This window comes from Homo sapiens, chromosome 12 (assembly GCF_000001405.40).
Source record: "Homo sapiens chromosome 12, GRCh38.p14 Primary Assembly".
In the NCBI taxonomy this organism is placed as follows: domain Eukaryota; kingdom Metazoa; phylum Chordata; class Mammalia; order Primates; family Hominidae; genus Homo; species Homo sapiens.
In genome coordinates, this window is record NC_000012.12 from 43,365,915 (window position 1) to 43,386,696 (window position 20,782).

The 20,782-nt window shown below is 35.4% G+C and overlaps 1 protein-coding gene across 3 annotated transcripts in view; it reads right to left on the reverse strand.

Moving 5' to 3' along the window:
- ADAMTS20 (ADAM metallopeptidase with thrombospondin type 1 motif 20) overlaps positions 1 to 20,782 on the reverse strand; it is a 199,441-nt gene that overhangs the window by 13,152 nt on the left and 165,507 nt on the right. For all 3 annotated transcript variants that reach the window (XM_011538754.3, XM_017019979.2, NM_025003.5), the window contains 8 exons: positions 17,890 to 18,063; positions 17,644 to 17,814; positions 11,451 to 11,648; positions 10,610 to 10,739; positions 10,322 to 10,416; positions 10,143 to 10,234; positions 9,465 to 9,598; positions 3,376 to 3,467 (listed from right to left, as the gene is read on the reverse strand). In XM_011538754.3, coding sequence (XP_011537056.1) covers positions 3,376 to 3,467; positions 9,465 to 9,598; positions 10,143 to 10,234; positions 10,322 to 10,416; positions 10,610 to 10,739; positions 11,451 to 11,648; positions 17,644 to 17,814; positions 17,890 to 18,063 — 1,086 coding nt within the window. The remainder of the gene's footprint in view (positions 1 to 3,375; positions 3,468 to 9,464; positions 9,599 to 10,142; positions 10,235 to 10,321; positions 10,417 to 10,609; positions 10,740 to 11,450; positions 11,649 to 17,643; positions 17,815 to 17,889; positions 18,064 to 20,782) is intronic.

The following is a 20,782-nucleotide window of genomic DNA, read 5'->3' on the forward strand; positions in this document are numbered from 1 at the left end:
TTAAAATGTTACACCAGAAAACATTCACTGAATAAAAAGAAAGCAGTAAGGAGGAACAGTTGAACAAAGACAACATGAAACATATAGAAAACAAAAAGTAAAATGGCAGATGTAAATCCAGACATAGCGATAGTGATGTTAAAAAAATCCAATCAAAGGCAGTAATCCAACAAAATACTCTATAAGAGACATTCTTAAGAGCCAAAGATATAAATAAGTTGAAAGTAAAGGGATGAAAATATATATAGCAATTCTAACAGAGCTGGAGTGGCCACACTAGTATCAGATAAATTAGCCTTTAAAACAAAAACATTACTGTAGATAAAGAAGAATATTTTATAATAATAAAAAGGTCAATATGTTAGGAAGTTATGACAGTTATATATTCGTGTACAACAAAATCTCAAAATAAATGAAACAAAACAAAATACATAAAAGATTGAATTGAGAAACAGACAATTTAAAAATAATAGTTGCAGAGTTTCAGCAGATAGAACTAAGCAGAAGATCAACAAGAAAGAAAGAGTTGAACAACAATATAAACCAATAAGGTCTGTAGTCTATAGAACACTTCACCCAACAACAACAGAATGCACATTCTTCCCAAGAATGTATTGAATGTTTTCCAGGACAAACTATATGTTATGACATAAAATAAGCCTCAATAAATTTAGTGGATAAAATAACACAGAGCGTGTTTTCCAGTCACAATAAAGGTTGAAATCCAAAAAAAGAAAATTTGGGAAATTTACAAATATGCGGAAATTAAACTCCACACTCTTAAATAACCAATATACCAAAGACCTAACTATAGATAATAGAAAATAAAATAAATGAAAGGAAACACAACATACCAAATATTTTGGGATGCAACAAAAGAATCGATTAAAGGAAAATTTATGACTACAAATGCCTATATTAAAAAGGAAAAATAATCTCAAATCAATAATCTACCCTTCTACCTTAAAACACTGGAAAAAGAAGAGCAGAGGATTGTAAGGGAATACTATGAACAATGTGTGACAACCAATTAGTCAACTTAGATAAAACAAACAAATTCCTAGGGAGACATAACTACCAAAACAAATTCAAGAACAACAAAAATTTGAATACATCTATAATAAATAAAGAGAGTAAATTGGTAATTAAAACAACTTTCACGAAGAAAAGCCCAGGCTCAGATGGCTTTGCTGGTAAATTCTACCAAACATATAAAGAATAATTTTTTTGCAAACTCTTCCCAAACAGTACAAGAGGAAAAAACACGTCCCGCTACATTCTATAAGGCCACTATTTCTGTGATACCAAAATGAGACAGATATCACAAGAAAAAAAATGATACAACAATTTCTACTACAAATATGAATGAAATATTCTCAAAAAATAGTAGCAAACCAAATTTAGCAATATATGAAAATAATTACATCCCATGACTAAGTGGGATTTATCACAGGAACGCAAGGTTGTGTTTCAACATATAAAAATAAATCAGTGTGGTAACACTCTATCAATCCAGTAATGGACAAAAACCACAGGATCTTCTCCACAGAAAATCCAGCATCCTTTCATAATAACACTTAAGCTAGAAACAAAAGGCTGTGTCCTCAACCTGATCAAGGACATCTAGAAAATACTCCTAGCTGACATACTTAACATACACATGAAACTAACATACTTACTGCTGAAGGACTGAATGCCTTTTGCCTAATATTGGAAAACAAGGATGTTCACTCTTGCCACTTTTATTCAGTATTGTAATAGAAGATGTAGTCCGCACAATAAAACAAGATAAAGAAATTAAAGATATCTAGATTGAGGAGGAAGTAAAATTATCTTTATTCACAGATGACATCACTGTGTATAAAGAAAATCCTAAGTAATCTACTGTTACAACTAATAAATGAGTTCAGCAAAGTTGCAGAATTCAAGATCAATCCATACAAATATAGGCAAAAATTGATTATTTATTTGGGCCCCAGATTTGGGTTCTCCTTACCAACCACTCTACCTGTCAAAGCCTTCTTAATGTTGAGCTGGAACCTACTGCCCTATTAATGCCTCTGGAGGAACACAAGCAACCTCACTCCTCTTTCATGGTAGTTCTTTAAATATGTAAAGATCGTTACCATTGTCTCTCACTCTTTTCCTGGCTACCTTCTCCATTTTCCTTAGTTGACATGATTCAAACCCTTCTTTCTTTCCTGTGATCTCCTCCTACTCCTAAATAGATTGAAAATGATGTTTTACAGACAGAAATTTTAAAATAACTGTAATGTTCCAGTGTCAAATAAAAATAAATCCTTCAGTCTTGCTATTTTGTTTTGGAACCTTACGATTATATTAGGTTGTTTATAAATCACTCCCTGACCTAAAGGAGTCATACTGAACTCATGCTGGGCGAAGAAACACCTATGTCTTTTTCATGTAACATCACCACTTTCCGTTTGAGTTTCTGGACCTAAGTTAAGATGTATAGATTTATTCAGGTTCTTACTCATTTTAGCCTGTAGTTCTAGTGTCTCTTGATCTCCTTTAAGTTCTCTAACAGAAAATGTCCTCTCTTCCTAATATAAGCGTAACTTAGATGTCATATAATGAAAATTATAAATGGAATAGTCTAAGAAGAGACTATGACAAACTATTAACTACTTCTCTTCAAAATGATATCAATATAGTAATTACCACTTGTCTTAGGTAGTAGATTTGATTCATATATTCAATTAGCAATGAGTCACCTAAAAGTGCTATATTCATCTAGCTTACAATTCTTCATCTATCATAAAAATGTTCTTTTCATTATCTATGTAAAATCTCTAGTTAATAATGTGAGAGAATATTTTCTTCTAGGAAAACATGCTCTGTATTGGAAATCATGGAAATGACATAAGAGCATGTGAAGAGAACTCTAGAAATAAAGGATAAAAGCGAGAATAAAAATATGAAAATGTATTCAATATACATTTTATTGATAACAGACTGTCATTTGGAGGACGTTACAGACCCAGGAAGCTAATAGAACTGATGTCAGCAGAAGTGTATGAAAGTCACATGCTTGTGATCCGTTCCTTTGCCTTTTGACAAATATCTATTCATTTCCATGGACTAAACGGAAAGATGAAGAAACTGATAACACATTATGGAAGAAGAAATAGAATCTGTTTAAAATTATTGTTATGCCTTTTAAACAAACCCAAAATTGGCAAAGATGCTTTTCCTCCAAAGGTTATCTATAACCTTTGAAACAAAGCGCATATGTGAAGTTTTGCATTTCTATTTACTTATGTTTCTTGCAATATTCTGGTTAAAAAAATGAATGAAGAGAAGCTATAATTTTTTTCACAAAGAAAGAAAATTAATCAAACAAATATGAAATACCTGTGGGCATCTGAAAGCACTGTAGCAATCTCCAGCTGTGGCAAATGGAACTGCATTTCCAAATATTGTTTTGGAAAAAAGAAGGTCCGTAGCTAGAAAATAATAAATAAAACTCTTTAGCATGGAGACAATAATGCAATCGTTGTTGTCAAACACAGAGTTTTCTTATTACTTACTTAGTAAATATACATATTTATATATTAATTTTAAAATTTTAAGCACAAATGCCACAATTCTGGTATATATCATAGAATAAGCTCTCATTGAACAAATTTTGTTTAATATAAAAATGTTCATATCATAAATTGCCCTAACAAAGGGCAAGCACATTTGTAATTAAACAGAAGAGTTAAAACGAAATAAATGCATTATTACATTTGAAGTCATAGAATATCTGAAATAGGTAAAGTGGGGTCAGGAGCAAAATCACTGGAGAAAAAAGGGTTATGTAAACATAAATGACAAAACAATAAAATTGAATGCTTATAAACAGCACATACAAAAATTCATTTAGGTAATTCAAAATCTCTCCACAAAAAAGTATGCCATTTTCTTTTTTTCGTGTCTTATTGCATTATGTTATTCTTTTTATTTTTTTCAAACTTACTTTTGCTAACAGTGTTAGCAAAATTTCCTGACTGGTAATAATGCTGAAGAGTCTACATAAAGTATCAAAAATAGAGCCATTGGATTAAAACAGGCTGGAAGGAACACTAAAAGTCAGCTGCTTCAATCACCTATTCATGTTTGAATCAAATATTATCCCAACCAAATCATCTAGCCAGTGGCTGTCACCTCCACTATGTATTCCAAATCTCTTCACTTTCAAGACTGCAAAATCACTGCATGTCCCAGGATGACATCAGTCCTTCAGAGGCAATTCCCAAAGGTAGCATTTCTGGAAATATTTGTCATATCTCCAAAGGGCAGTTTCAAAAACCAGGAAGCTCTCCATGGTTTACCAGAGCCAGCTTGTACCAAATAGTGAGAGCCAACTCTGTGCATTTCTTCCCAAGCCCAGGTACAATGAGGTCATGTTGGTAGCTCATGATTGGTCAGGGTGGGAATACATACACCATGTATATATTAGTGCCTGACACCACAAATCAGACTTTTTCTTCCCTGGATAACTGGTCGTCATTCATCTGCACACCACTATTTATTTGTGGCATTTGTGGATTATGCTGGGGCAGAGCAGAGACACAACTTTCAAAGCATCTATTGTTACTAACTCCAAAAGCATGTCAGTCAACAGCCAGTTTCATCAGCCAATTACACAATGATGACTCATAAGTATATATTCCAGTCCACCTGACTCTGATGAGTTACAGAACATATATCAAATTCCTATTGGGCATCATTACTTGGATGACCTACAGATATCTGTAATTTAACATGTTCAAAGCTAAATGCATTATCTTTTTCTCCAAATTTATTTGCCCTGCTCTATTTCCCATTTCACTAAACTGTACTACCATCTGTCTTGTTATTTTAGAAACCTTTCTAAATATTCCATGTCACTAATTCTCACACCCCTTCTATCAGAAAATCCTGTAGTGTCTACCTCTTTAATATTTCTCAAATAGGTATCCTAACCCATGTTCCCAGTACTCATCACTTTTTATCTGAATTGTTACATTCGCTTCCTAATCATTTTTCATGGATACAATCTGTTCTGCCTCCAACCAACTCTATTCCTTCCCCTGCTTATGCCTTTATGCCTTTATTCCAATGGTTCCTATAACTTGCAAGATAAAATTCAATTGTATAGTTTAGTATGCACTGTTCTTCATGATCTGCTCCCTGCGAACTTTTCTAATAAGCTACCATCCCCCAACCTACATTTGATTTATGTTAGACAAAACTAGACTGCTTTTTATTCTCTGATATCGCCAAAATGCTTCTCCCTTCCATGCTTTTGTTCATGCTTCTCCCTCCTCCTAAAACTCATTTTTTTGCCTCTTTTGTTAACTCAAAGTTGTCTTGAGATTGTTCAAACTATCTGTTCCTATAAACCTCTTGAGAAAAGCGAGGACTTTTAATTCAACAGATACTTATTTACAATATATTTTGCATTGGGCAGTATTATAGATATTGCGAACACAACAGTGGGTGAAACAGAGGCCAATGGAACCTGAGTCTTACCAGGAAGAGACAAGTTATAAAACAAATATTACAGTATGTTAGGGGTGATACTTGCTATGGAAAGAAAATAAAGCAGATAATAGAATGGGGAGGAAGAGAATTTAGTGGTGGAGAGTGGTTCTGGATGGTCTTATTTAGAAGATAAATTTCAGCAGAGACCCAAAAGAAATGAAGGGGTAAACCACACAGACAGCTACAGATGAATGTTCCCGGCAGATGGAACAGTAAGTGCGAAGGCCTTAAGATGGGGGCATGCCTGGTGTGTTCAAGGAACAGCAAACAGGCCACTGTGTCTGTAGTAGGAGTGATCATGGGGCTCAGGGCAGCAGAAAACTGAGAGGGAATAGAGGTGGAAAGGTCATGGTGACTCTTGTTGACCAGTGAAATGCACAATTTTGTCCATAACAGCATGCACATTGAAAATTCACCTGACAGAAGTTGATGATGAATTACATGTGGGTGTGGAAGAAAGGTAGAAGTTGAAGATGTTGCTAGGTTTTAGCTAGACTAAGTAGAATATTATTGGTGGCATTTACTGCAGTGGTAAACATTTGGGTTTGACAGCAGGTTTGGCAGGAAATGTTAGAAGTTCAGTTTTGGATACATTGAGTTTGACATGCCTATTAGACATTCATATGAATATGCTGAGTAGACAGTTGGATTTTGGAGGTTAGGGTAGCAATCCAAGCTGGAAATGTGCATTTGGGACTGTCATTTAATAGATGGTACTTGAAATCTATAAATTTAATGAGATTCCCAAATAACAACTGAATCCTATAGCTCCTCAACATTCAGAGTTGTAGAAGATGAAGAATAACTTGCCAAGTCGAGAAACAGTGAGAAAGACAGGAGAAAGAGTGGTCAAGAAAGACACAAAACCATTAGAGGATGGTGTCCTGGGATCCAAATGCTGCTGATGCATCATGTAAGATGGAAAACAAGACTTTATCATTGAATTTAAGGAAACAGGTTATTGATGACTTTGATAAGGACTGTTTCCTGGAAGTGACATGAATAAGAGATTGATTAGAGTATAGCATGGGGAAAGAGAATTGGAGAGTGCAGATTATAACTCATTTAAGAAATTTTACTATAAATGAACACAAAGAAACTGGTCAGTGGCTGGCTGGAAAGGTAGAGGTCAAGATGATTTGCTTGTGATTATGACGAAAGAAATAAAATGTTTCTCTATGAAGAATTTAAATGATTCAGCAGCAGAATTGAGGATGTGAGAGAGATTAGGAAATATGCTGAAATAACGTTCTTGAGTAGGTACAAGGCACTGAGCCTAGAGGACAAGGAGCAGGATTTGCCTTGGATGGGAGCATGAAGAGTTCATCCAGAGTAAACAGGAGAAAGCAAGGAGATAGGTAAAGATTCAGGTAGGCTGGTAGATGTGGCAGTGGGAACTTGAGCAATTCCCTTCTGATTCTTATTTTCTCAGTGAAATAGCGAGCAAGATCACCAGCAGTGAGTTAGTAGAGTGGAGGTATTAAAAATTTTGAAATTTGAAGCTACAGGAGAAGGTATAAGTTAGACATTTAGAAAAGTAGGAGAGAGAATGGACTAGGGAAGTGCAGTAGGATTATTTGGCAGTGCCATGGATCCGTGTAAGCTTAGTACTCATGTGTTTAAAATGGTATCAGTCAGAAGGGCTGTGTATTATTTGCCACATTCAGTTTTATGCTGCAAGCACAGAATGGGTGGAGATTTAATTTAATCAAGGCTGGATTTTTACCATGCAAGTTTAAGGAAGAAAAAGAGAGGAGAAACTGTATATATTTGACATTGCATGCTTGCATGCTCTGGGCCCAGACCAATGCCTGGCAAAATGGCAGCTTTGTTAAAAAGCAGTCTAGTTAACAGCAAATAAGCTATTGAGTGTCTATTAGAAACTTAGAGCGCTAATAACATACTTATAACCATATACATCATTAAATAATAACCAATATTTATAGAGCATGTACTCTATCAGGGATGTCTAATCTTTTGGCTTCCCTGGGCCACACTGGAAGAAGAATTGTCTTGGGCCACACATAAAATACACTAACACTAAGAATAGCTTATGAGCTAAAAAAGTCACAAAAAAAATCTCAAAATGTTTTAAGAAAGTTTACAAATTTGTGTTGGGCCACATTCAAAGCTGCCCTGGGCCACATGAGGGCTGCAGGCTGTGGGTTTGACAAGCTTGTATTATATGTAAAACAATGACTAGATATGTTAGAAATATCATCTCTTTTTTTTTTTTTTTTTTTTTTTTTTTGAGACGGAGTCTCGCTCTGTCGCCCAGGCTGGAGTGCAGTGGCGCGATCTCGGCTCACTGCAAGCTCCGCCTCCTGGGTTCACGCCATTCTCCTGCCTCAGCCTCCCAAGTAGCTGGGACTACAGGCGCCCGCCACTACGCCCGGCTAATTTTTTGTATTTTTAGTAGAGACGGGGTTTCACCGTTTTAGCCGGGATGGTCTCGATCTCCTGACCTCGTGATCCGCCCGCCTCGGCCTCCCAAAGTGCTGGGATTACAGGCGTGAGTCACCGCGCCCGGCCGAAATATCATCTCTTAATCCTCACCAAACAAGAATAAAAAAAGAAGGAAAGAAAAAGGAAATGAAGAAAAAAACCTTAGTAATAGTTTCTCATTTTACACATGAGGGAACCGAGGCTTAAAGACATATGCCCAAAGTCACAGAGCTGATAAATAAAGAATTACACCCAGACAGTCTAGAGTTTATTATTGTAACCATAGTAATATAATGCTTCCACACTGTAGTAGATGGTGGATGTTCAGTAAATGATAGCCATCATTATTAATAATAATGGTTCATAATTTTATGACTATAATTTATATATTATATATTCATGCATATACTGTCTTAATTTTTTTTATTGCTTTCTATGACTTATGCACCATGCTAGGCACTGATGATTCAATGGCAATTGAGATGGAGTCTCTGCTAGTGAAATGCACTTTTTTGCCTCTTCATGTAGATATGTAACTTTCTGGACAGCAGCCTGCATTTGCCAGGTGCATATGAAGTTCTATAAATACGTTTTGACTTGATTGTATTATAAATTACTTTCTAGATAAGCAGTATGATCTATAATCTAAGGTCTATGAGTAGGACTTTTTTTCCCTAATGCCAGTACTAACTGTATGAATGGAACAAATTGCTTAACTTCCATATTACTTACAACATTGTGATATAGTATCTGCCTTAACTAATACAAGAGTGTTAAAAAGGTCAAATGAGATAATGTATGGGAAAATACCTGATAAATTATCATTAGAAACTAATGTAAATGATTACTTTAAACTCTGCAAAAAGCTTCCACAAGTAGACCGAGGATATTAACTTTCTTATCCTTAATGTACCTGAGGATTTTAAGGTAGAGGGTTTTATCTTGGAAGGGCAGTATCTTACTTGTTACTGTCATTACATTTTTATTAAGAGTCCCCAGCTGGGAGTGGTGGCTCACGCCTGTAATCCCAGCACTTTGGGAGGCCAAGGCAGGTGGATCACCTGAGATCAGGAGTTCAAGACCAGCCTGACCAATATGGTGAAACCCCATCTCTACTAAAAATACAAAAAGTTAGCTGGGCATGGTGGCGTGTGCCTGTAATCCCAGCTACTGGGGAGGCTGAGGCAGGAGAATCGCTTGAACCCAGGAAGTGGAGGTTGCAGTAAGCCAAGATCATGCCATTGCACTCCAGCCTGGGCAGTAAGAGTGCAACTGCGTCTCAAAAAAAAAAAAAAAAAAAAAAAAGCCCCATGGTGCATGTCATTGCAGAGGAAGTATGTAGCTAACTGTTTTTAAAAAAAGTAAGTAATTTTTGCACAATGTCAGGTCCTTCTCTGTACCCTGGCTACAACATATACCAACATATTGTTTGACGTTCATAAGCAAATGGAGGCTTTTTGATTTTAAAATATAGATTGAGCACTTACTTTTAATTTGCATGGAAGTGAGATCAATTCTTATTTTGCTGAAAACAGTGTATCCAGCAGCTAAGTGTCCATTGTCACATTCACAGTCTTCCCTTCTACTCCCATTAAAAGGACATTGATATGGATTTTTTAGTCTGTAACAACATTGGGATATTTTAGTATTAGATGCAGTTACGAGGCCATAATGTAGACAAACTTTGGGAGTAGAAAAATAAAACACACTCCTGCTCTTTAATATTATAGTGTCAACAAGTTAAACAAGAAAGAAGCAAAAATCACTTAAGGTGAACATACAACATTTTCAATGAAACATCTAAGAAGAGCTTGTAGAAAAATAATTCAACTGCATTCTTCTAGCTTTGATTACTGGAATTAGTTTGACTTTATGAAAATGCACATAGTTCTTAAATTCTTCCCTTCTCTATGTCCGACTTCTCACCCACAGTATTCTTAGTCAATCTCTCTGTTAATAGTCAATATTAACAATACATGTTAGTATTCAAGGCTTTATTTCTGAACAGGCATTAACAACATCTAGTTTAGGTCCTAACATGTCTACCTGCTCCTACATTATTTGTCTCACATGTAAGCTATTCAAGTATCACTCTGAGGGCTAGAAGTTCCAATTCTCTTGGAGGACCATGAAAATGCTCAGATAGACCAAAACACATCTCGTACCTAAAGCCATACACTTCAGAAAAGTTTTCTTCACCTTGGACCAGTGTTAAATATTCCTTAGGGTTCTCCAAGTACATGTCTGCACAATAAATCTAAAGAAAAAATGTAAACATCTAGAAAAACTTTTTCCAAAGTCAATGATCAATGTTAAAATAAAAAAGGAACTGTTTTCATAATACCTTTATTATTCTTCCCTTAATGTTAAGGTAATAGTCACCATCCTTTCTAATGTGGTTTTTCACTTGAATTTCTTTGCAGGTGGTAAATGATTTACCTTCAAAGACAAATTAACACAACTTAACACAGAGCAAATTACAAACACAGCAAGAACTTAATCATAGAAATATTGCTACACTCTGAATATCTGACACTTTGTTTTGTGGAGTGTGAAACTACTACAGATATTTATTTTAACTGAAACTTATTAGAAACCCTTAGGTATTAGATTTTTGAAGTCTACTACTTACAGTCATTGGCATAACATTTCTTTTGAGCACCTGGTTTTAAATGGTTTAAACATAAGTCACTGGACAAACCATGTTTGGTAATGCATTTCACTTGTCTCTTCATTATCCCAATTCCACAAGTCACTGAGCACTGTGAAAAGAGTAAAATTTGAAGGCAAACTATATTATGAATCTTAAGGCCATAAAATCCAAGTCTCCTTTTCTTAGACCAGGTATTTCTGGAGCACACTGAGGGTCAGTAGTGGCTAGATACACAGAAGACACAAAACTATGCTGGGGGCTGGATAGTCGCCGGTGGGAAAAATCCTTAGGCATGAGCCTGAATCTATTATTTCTCAGTTACTGGCTTCTTTTAATTCATTTTGTGCAGTTAGCAACAATACATTGTAAATACTTAATAAACATTAGTCAGTGATGGTAATTAAAACTATCTCATTAAGTTATATGCTAAGTTTGCAAAGTGATATTTACTTGCTTTCTATCAATTAAATTGGAAATAGAATATGATATAAATAACTTTTATTACTCATATATTAGATTTATTTACTTCTTCACTTAACCAATAAATATTTCTTAAGCACTTACTCAAAGTGCAAGCCACTGTGCTAAGTTATCTAAGGAACAGAAATAAGTATGAGTTATGGTCTCTGCTTTAAGCGAGTTATAGCAAGCATCGAACAAGAGATAAAATATTTATATAAATAACTGGTAATGTGGATTTTAGAAAATAGTGGTCTGAGGCAACTCTGAGGATCTAGTTAGACATACAAACAGATTACCAGATTTCCCACACCTAGAAAGTCTTATTCAGAAGTTTTAAAATTCATAATTGTACACCGACCTTGCTCCATTTTCCAACTTTCCAAGTGGCCAAATGCAAACAGCTGTTAATGCATTGGTAAACCTGAGAGGAAGGCACCACAGGGCATTCTTGATAAACTATAGGCCGAAGTCGATGGAGCTTATGTTTCTTAGTAGATGGGATCTCGGTGCAATATGTAATCCTTTGTCTGTAACTAAATCCACAGTTGTTTGCACACTGAAAAATACATAATTACAAGAAAGAAAATGTCATTAACTTTAGCCAGGGCCTAATATTTGTCAGATGCTTAATATATATTATGCTGTGTCATTTCCACAACAATCCTATTTAATTAGCTTCATTTACAGATGAGCAAACATAGGTTCAGACATTAGACAAGTTTCCCAGAGTTGTACCAATAAAGGAAAGAAACTCAGATCCAGGCTAGATTTTCTAGCTGTAGTGCCTGTGTGTGCGTGTGTGTGTGTGTGTGTTTTCATTACATTACCATCTTAATTGTATGAAACTATATCTCCCAATAGGCACAGCATTGGAGGAATAAAACATTTTGAGGGTCCTTACTGGAAATAAAGGGCATCTATTAGCCTTAGATCACTGGTAACTATGTATAAGTTAGCACACATGTATCTTCATAGATATACTGTAAAGTCTAATAACACTTGACTAAAATAGGTAAGTGATTTAGGTGTAAATTAAAGCCCCAATCCAAAAATGGGCAAATAGATTTCTGCTTTTAGCAAAAGAGGAGTAACAAGGAATAGATTTACCTTCTAACTTTAAACAACTAAAACATCTGAACAAAATATATAAAGCAATGGCTTTTAAGACACTCAACATTGGACAGTAAAGAATAGTAATCCATGACAGATGAGAAACAAAGTGACACTATAAAATCATTCCAGCCTACTGCTTTGAAAAACTTTCCAGGTCTTGGCACAACGAAAGGAAGGCAGCAGAGCTCTGACCAGCAGTGTGTACATACCTGTGAGGACACCAACCAAAGTAAGGCAATTAACCAAACAAAAGGCTTAGAAGTTACTTTCTCTAATGATCACACAGAACCAAATATAGTGCCTATTCCCTCCAGCTAGACTGGAAAATTTAAATACATGAGGAAATAGGTAAAGTACTCAAAAGGGTCTTGCCACAGTAGAGAGGAACAGTTAACCCTAGATTAAACAATATACTGATCTGCCTACAAAATCTTAAGTGCAAGGCAAGAGAGAGTCAAACTGTTCTCCAACAAAATTAATGCAACCCATAACAAAACTCAAAATACATGTATAGGAATAAAAAATATCTAGTCAGCAAAAAGGTAAAATTCATGGCTGACATGCAACAGAAAATTAATTGGAATGCAAAGAACCTGGAAAATAAGACTCATAATGAAGAAAAAACCTGTCCATCAAAACATCCCTAGAGGGGTGACATCTGTGAAAATGGAAGAGTAAGGACATCTAAAAATTCTCTCTTCTATAATAGCAGTGACAAAATGGGCAAAATTTGCCCGATCAGTTTTTTCAGAACTCTAGAAACTGACCAAAGACTTGCAGCAATCCAGAAGGCATTTATTCAATAAACATGGCTAACTTTTGGTAAGAAGAGCAAGTTTTGTGATGGTTTAACTTCTCCTATTTCCATTCTCTTCTTTCTAGCTCCATGGTAACCTTCAAAATCAACAGCCCTGTGATTATGGTGAAACCAGAATTCCGGCAGCCACTGGAGGGGAGCAGAACAGGCTTGGATATCATTCAAAGCCTCATTCCCAGAGAATTGTCATTATTTGAACTGTTTAGTGGTTTTCTGGAAGACCCCACTTGCAAGAATGTCTTTATTTGACCTGACCTGCTCAGTGCTAAAAATCTAGGGACATTTGTTGCGCTCAATTAAAAACCATTGTTTAACTTTGCAGTTTCCAGGATGCTGAATAACAGTTGGAGCAACAACAGGCTAGCTAAAAAGGCTTAAAAGGAAAAGCTAGGGAATAAGATGTCCATCAGAGCTTTGAAAAGCTCCAGTGTATTAATGGGATCTAGATGGCCGTGAACATGCATCAGATTGTACACATGTCCAGGTCTGTCTGCAAGCTCAGGAAGCATCTGAGGAGGGCCTGCAGCCTCTCTTCCAGCTGACCTCAAGGCTCTACACAAGCAGAAAGTTAAGATTAAGGAACAGTTGTCAACAACCTGATGAGTGTTGAAGGCCACACCCTACTCCCAACCCCCCAACACACAGTACCTTGGCAAAGGCTAGGGAACCAAAATTATTGGTTCCAGATATTAAGGAAATTACTGTCTAGTCATAGCTGACAACTAAACTAAGTGAGCAGAGACTTCAATGGCCATGTATGACAAACAATATAGACTTAACAGTTAGTTCAGAAAAGTCACTAAAAAACAAACAACAACAAACAGTAGCAACAACAAACCCTGGGGAGGAGGAAGAATCTGAATAGACTTATCACAAGTAAAGAGATTAAATTTGTAACCAAAACACTTCACACAAGAAAAGCCCAGGACCAAATGCTTAAAGAAGAATTAGCACCAAGTCTGCCAAAAGTATTCCACAGATAGAATAAAAAGGAGCACTGCCTAACTCATCCTATGAAGCCAGTTTTTCCCAAATCCAGACAGACATCACAAAAAAAAAAACTATAGACCAGTAGTTCTTAAGAATATAGATGTAAAGTTCTACAACAAAACACTAGCAAAACAATTCCAGCAACACATAAAAAGGATTATACACCATGACGAAGTAAGATTTATCCCAGGAATGCAAGATTATTGTAACATATGAAAGTCAATCTATGTAATACACCATACTAATAGAAGAATGGACAAAAAATATGATAATTTCAGTAGATGTAGACTAAACATTTGACAAAATCTAACACACTTTCATAATATAAACATGAAGCAAACTAGGACTAGAAGGGTACTTCTTCAATCTGATAAAGGGAATCTACAGAAAATCCATAGTTAGCATACTGAATTAGGAAAACTAAAAGTTTTCCTACAGAGAGCAGGAACAAGACTGAAATGTCTGTTTTTACCACTTCTATTTAACATTATTCTGGAATTTCTAGACAGGGAAATTGGACAAGGAAAGGTACAAAAGGCATCCATCTTTAAAGAAAGAAGTAAAACTATCTCTATTTGTAGATGAGATGATATTGTAAGTAGAAAATCCCATTTAATCCACACACTAAATAATTAAATCCCCCAAAAAATTTTCAATACACAAAAAACAATTCTATTTCTATACACAAGCAACGAATAATAAGAAAAATGAAACTAATAGAACAATTCCATTTACAGAATATAAAAAATACTCAGGAATAAATTAAAAGAAGTGCAAGATTTGCACACTATAAGACACACTTGAAATAAGTTAAAACCTAAATTAATGGAAATTCATTCCACATTCGTAGATAAGAAGACAGTATTATTAAGATAATAATATCTACCAAGTTGAACAAGAGTCATTGCAACCTCTAACAAAATCTCAGCTGGCTCTTACATAGAACTTGACAAACTGGTCCTAAAATTCACATGGAAATGTAAGAGACTCAGAATAGCCCAGTAATCTTAAAGAGGAAGGAAAAAAGTTGGTTCACTCATACTTCCTGACTTCAAAACTTACTATAAAATTACAGTCATCAAGACTACATGGTAATAATATATTGATAGGCATATAGATCAAGAAAATAGAATTGAGAGTTCAGAAATAAACCAATACATTTATGGTCAATTGTCAATTGATTTTTGACAAGGATGCCAAGCTAATTCAATGGGGGAAAGAATAATCTTTTCATGCAGAAGGATGAAATTAGACCCCTACCTCACATCACATACAAAAATTAACTCAAAATGTATCAAACTCCTAATTGTCTGAGCTACAATTATAAAAGCCTACAAAGAAAACATAGATATATATCTTTGTGAGCATGAAGTAGGCAATAGTTTCTTAGATATGATACTTAAAGCCAAAGAACTAAAACAAAAAACAAAATAAATTTCACTTCATCAAAGCATACTATTAAGAGAAAAGATAACCCACAGAATTGGAGAAAATATTTGCAAATCATCTAACTGATAAAAGTTGGTACCCAGAATATATAAATAATTTACAACTCACCCAGTGAAAAAATGAGCAGCCAGGCATGGTAGCTTATGCTATAGTCCCAGCACTTTTGGAGGTCCAGGAGGGATGATCCCTTGAGCCCAGGAGTAAGAAACCAGCTTGGGCAACACAGGGAGACCCCATCTCTACAAAAAAAAAAAAAAAAGCTAGAGATGGTGGCACATGGCTGTAGTCGCAGCTACTCAGCAAGTTTAGGTGGGAGGATTGCTTGAGCCTAGGAGGTCAAGACTTCAGTGAGCTGTAATTATACCACCGCACTCCAGCTTGGGCAACAGAACAAGACTGCATCTCAAAAAAAAAAAAAAAAAAAAAAAAGATGGGCAGAAGATTTGAATAGACATTTATCTAAAGATATACAAATACCTAAAACACACACAAAAAGATACTCAACATCATTAGTCATTAGAGAAATGCAACTTAAACATAAAATAGATACCATTTCATACATACTAGGATGGTTATGTTAAAAAAAAGATGGATTATAACAAGTGCTGTTGATGACTGATGATGATATGGAGAGAGAAATAGGAACCTTTATACATTGCTGATAGGAAAGAAAAATGGTGTGGCCACTGTGGAAAACAGTTTGGCAGTTCCTCAAAATATTAAATAGAGTTATGATACCCAGCTATTCTATCCCTAGGTATATGCCCAAGAAAATTGAAAACATACATCCACACAAAAACTTGTATGCAAATGTTCCTAACAGCATTATTGAAACGTCAAAATTGGAATCAATCCAAATGTCCATCAACTGACAAATAAATAGACAAAATATAGTATATTCCTACAATGGAATATTATTTATCATAAAAAGGAATGAAGCATTGATGTATGATAAAACTTGTATAAAGTTTTAAAATATCATGCTAAGTGAAAGAAGCTAGACACAAAAGACCACATATGGTATGATTCCATTTATACCAAATGTGCAGAACAGGCAAATCCACAGATACAGAAAGCAGATTAGTGGTTGTCTGAGACTAGGAGAAAATGTGAGAATAAGGAATTACTACTTATGGGTGCAGATATTTTTTTGGGAGTGATAAAAAGGCCTGGGATTAGATCATGGTGATGCTTGCACATACAGGTGATTATACTAAAATTCGCTAAATTATAAACATGTGCATAGATGTTAGAATTAGATGTCCAGAAGAAGATGTTAAAAAGATAATTTTTAAAAAAATTCAAGAAAAAAATAAAATAAAAATTGGAAAATTTTACCTACAAAAATAAAAGTAACTATGTTTCATATGTTCAAAATGTTAAGTAGAGATATGGAAGATATAAAAAAGCTGAAATTAAACCTCTAAAGATGAAGATGATAATGGCTTAGATAAAAAAACAGACTGGATGGGGATCAGACATCAGAAAGAAAAGAAAAGCAAATGTAAAGACATCTATATAATGGAATATTATTCAACAATAAAAGAAAAAACTATTGATACATACTACAACCTGATCAAATCTCAAAATACTTACATTACAGCAGACAAAAAAAGTATGTACTGTATGATCCACTTATATAAAACTCTAGAAAATGCAAACAAGTATAGTGATAGATCACTAATATAGAAAACAGGTAAGGTCACTTATTGGGTGAGGAGGGAAAAGAGAGGGGGGAAAGAGATTATAAAGCAGCACAAGGAAACTTTTGGGAGTGATGGAAATCAAAATGGTACTGGTTTTATGGCTGTGTACATGTGTTAAAACTTATTAAGCTATATATTTTGAATATATTTAGTTTATGGTTCATCAATTACACCTCGATAAAGCCATTTCTAAAAAGTGGACAACTGTACGGTGCCAGTTTGCCAAATTGTTCCTGGTGGTTGGTTTCACAGTTGGCACCTACTGACACTTGAGACTTGCACTAGAGTTTAACACATATGTCACTATTACTCTATTTGCACCATCCAACTGTCAGTGGTCTCATTCCTTAGATTGATATGCATACCATCATCTGCCCTCATATTCAAATTTTATACCCAGTTTCAGCTGTGTCAAATTGTAGATCCAGCTGTTTTATCAAGGAGCAAAAATTCTCAACTTCCTTTCTTTACCTTACCTGTGATGAGTCTGCTGTTACCACAATGTAATTGCAAGGAGGGTTCCTGCAATTCTTGGATGTAAGAGATATGGTTGAAGAATTATAGACTATTTCATTCACTTGTCTGATTTGGTTATCTGTGCACTCCATTCGTTGATGTGAATCTTTTCTCTCACATGATGTTGAACACTAGAAATGCAATAACCAAATGAATAACACATTCTTATATGCAGTGTCTTTGAAAATTTACATGTCGATACTCACATTCAGCCTCCCTCTTTCCATCCCCTTGTGCTGCACACAGTCCTGACTCCAACATCGCCTCTGAGAACAAGGTCGGGTGGACTGATCACACATTTCTTCAACCACCTGACCAACACCTTTCAGTCTGCAGTATACATCCCTCTGCTGAACTCCAGAGCCACAGGTCACAGAGCACTACAAAGGAGTCCAGTTGATTTGAACAATTAGCTAATAAATACCAAATTATATAAAAGTAGCCAATGGAGCCATTACATATTATTTATTTTAAATACAGCCTGGTATTAAAACATGAATTAGATAAAAAATACATACAATAAGTATTTTTACCATTATCTCTGTAAATGTATATTTTCCCTGTTTGGCATAAGGCACTTCAAGCTTTACAGAAACTCTGACAAGCGAATCAAGTTATAGTAGACAGCATCTCAATCAATGACTCTGTCTTCTACTTAAATGAGTATAATGTCTATAAAAATTACCACACAATTAATCATGAATTATTCCACAACATTGCTTTTAAATGTCAATTAAATTCTTAGACTATACTCATTATCTCCCTCAAAGAAACAATAATTTCCAAGATTGTGTTATATTCATCTTTTTATCTACAGTACCTACTATAGTTTGTACCTGTTATGGAATCTAAATACTTGCTAATTTTTTTTAATACTTTAAGTTCTGGGATACATGTGCAGAACATGCCGCTTTGTTACGTAGGTATACATGTGCCATGGTGGTTTGCTGCAACCATCAACCCGTCATCTGCATTAGGTATTTCTCCTAATGCAATGCCTCACCTTGTCCCCAAACCCCCTCGACAGGCCCCAGTGTGTGATATTCCCCTCCATGTGTCCATGTGTTCTCATTGTTCAACTCCCACTTATGAGTGAGAACATGCGGTGTTTGGTTTTCTGTTCCTGTGTTAGTTTGCTGAGAATGATGGTTTCCAGCTTCATCCGTGTCCCTGCAAAGGACATGAACTCATCCTTTTTTTATAGCTGCATAGTATTCCATGTTATATACGTGCTGCATTTTCTTTATCCAGTCTATTCTTGATGGGCATTTGGGTTGGTTCAAATTATTTGTTATTGTGAACAGTGCTGCTATAAACATATGTGTGCATGCGTTTTTTATAGTAGAATGTTTTATAATCCTATGCACATATACCAAAAATGGGATTGCTGGGTCAAATGCTATTTCTGGTTCTACATCCTTGAGGAATCGCCATACTGTCTTCCACAATGATTGAACTAATTTACTCTCCCACCAACAGTGTAAAAGCATTCCTATTTCTCCACATCCTCTCCAGCATCTGTTGTTTCCTGACTTTTTAATGATCACCATTCTAACTGGCATGAGATGGTATCTCATTGTGGTTTTGATTTGCATTTCTCTAATGACCAGTGATGATGAGCTTTTTTTCATATGTTTGTTGGCCCCATAAATGTCTTCTTTTGAAAAGGGTCTGTTCATATCCTTCACCACTTTTTAATGGGGTTGCTTTTTTCTTGTAAATTTAAGTTCTTTGTAGATTCTGGATATTAGCGCTTTGTCACATGGATAGATTGCAAAAATTTTCTCCCATTCTGTAAATTGACTATTCACGCTGATGATAGTTTATTTTGCTGTCCAGAAGCTCTTTAGCTTAATTAGATCCAATTTGTCAATTTTGGCTTTTGTTGCCATTGCTTTTGGTGTTTTAGTCATGAAGTCTTTGCCCATGCCTATGTCCTGAATGGTATTTCCTAGGTTTTCTTTTAGAGATGTTATGGTTTTAGATCTTATGTTTAAGTCTTTAATCCATCTTGAGTTAATTTTTGTATAAGGTGTAAGGAGGGGGTCCAGTTTCAGTTTTCTGCATATGGCTAGCCAGTTTTCCCAACACCATTTATTAAATATAGAATCCTTTCCCCATTGCTTGTTTTTGTTAAAGATTTGGTCAAAGATCAGATGGTTGTAGTTTTGTGGTGTTATTTCTGAGGCCTCTGTTCTGTTTCATTGGCTATTAATTACTACCTCAATTTCGGAATTTGTTATGGGTCTATTCAGGGATTTGACTTCTTCCTGGTTTAGTCTTGGGAGGGTTTATGCGTCCTGGAATTTATTCATTTCTTCGAGATTTTCTAATTTATTTGCATAGAGGTGTTTATAGTATTCTTTGATGGTAGTTTGTATTTCTGTGGGATCAGTGGTGATATCTCCTTTATCATTTTTATTGTGTCTATTTGATTCTTCTCTCTTTTCTTCTCTATTAGTCTGGCTAGCGGTCTACCTATTTTGTTAATCTTTTCAAAAAAACAGGTCCTGGATTCATTGATTTTTTGAAGGGTTTTTCAGGTCTCTATCTCCTTTGGTTCTGCTCTGATCTTAGTTATTTCTTGTCTTCTGCTAGCTTTTGTATTTGTTTGCTCTTGCTTCTCTAGTTCTCCTTTGCTTACGAAGCTTAGTTTGGCTGGATATGAAATTCTGGGTTGAAAATTCTTTTCTTTAAAAATGTTGAATATCGGCCCCCACTCTCTTCTGGCTTGTAGGGTTTCTGCAGAGAGATCCGCTGTTAGTCTAATGGGCTTCCCTTTGTGGGTAACCAGACCATTCTCTCTGGCTGTCCTTAACATTTTTTCCTTCATTTCAACCTTGGTGAATCTGTCAATTATGTGTCTTGGGGTTGCTTTTCTCCAGGACTACCTTTGTAGTGTTCTCTATATTTCCTGAATTTGAATGTTGGCCTGTCTTACTAGGTTGGGGACGTTCTCCTGAATAATATACTAAAGAGTGCTTTCCAACTTGGTTCCATTCTCCCTGTCACTTTCAGGTACACCAATCAAACATAGGTTTGGTCTTTTCACGTTGTCCCACAATTCTTGGAGGCTTTGTTCACTCCTTTTCATTCTTT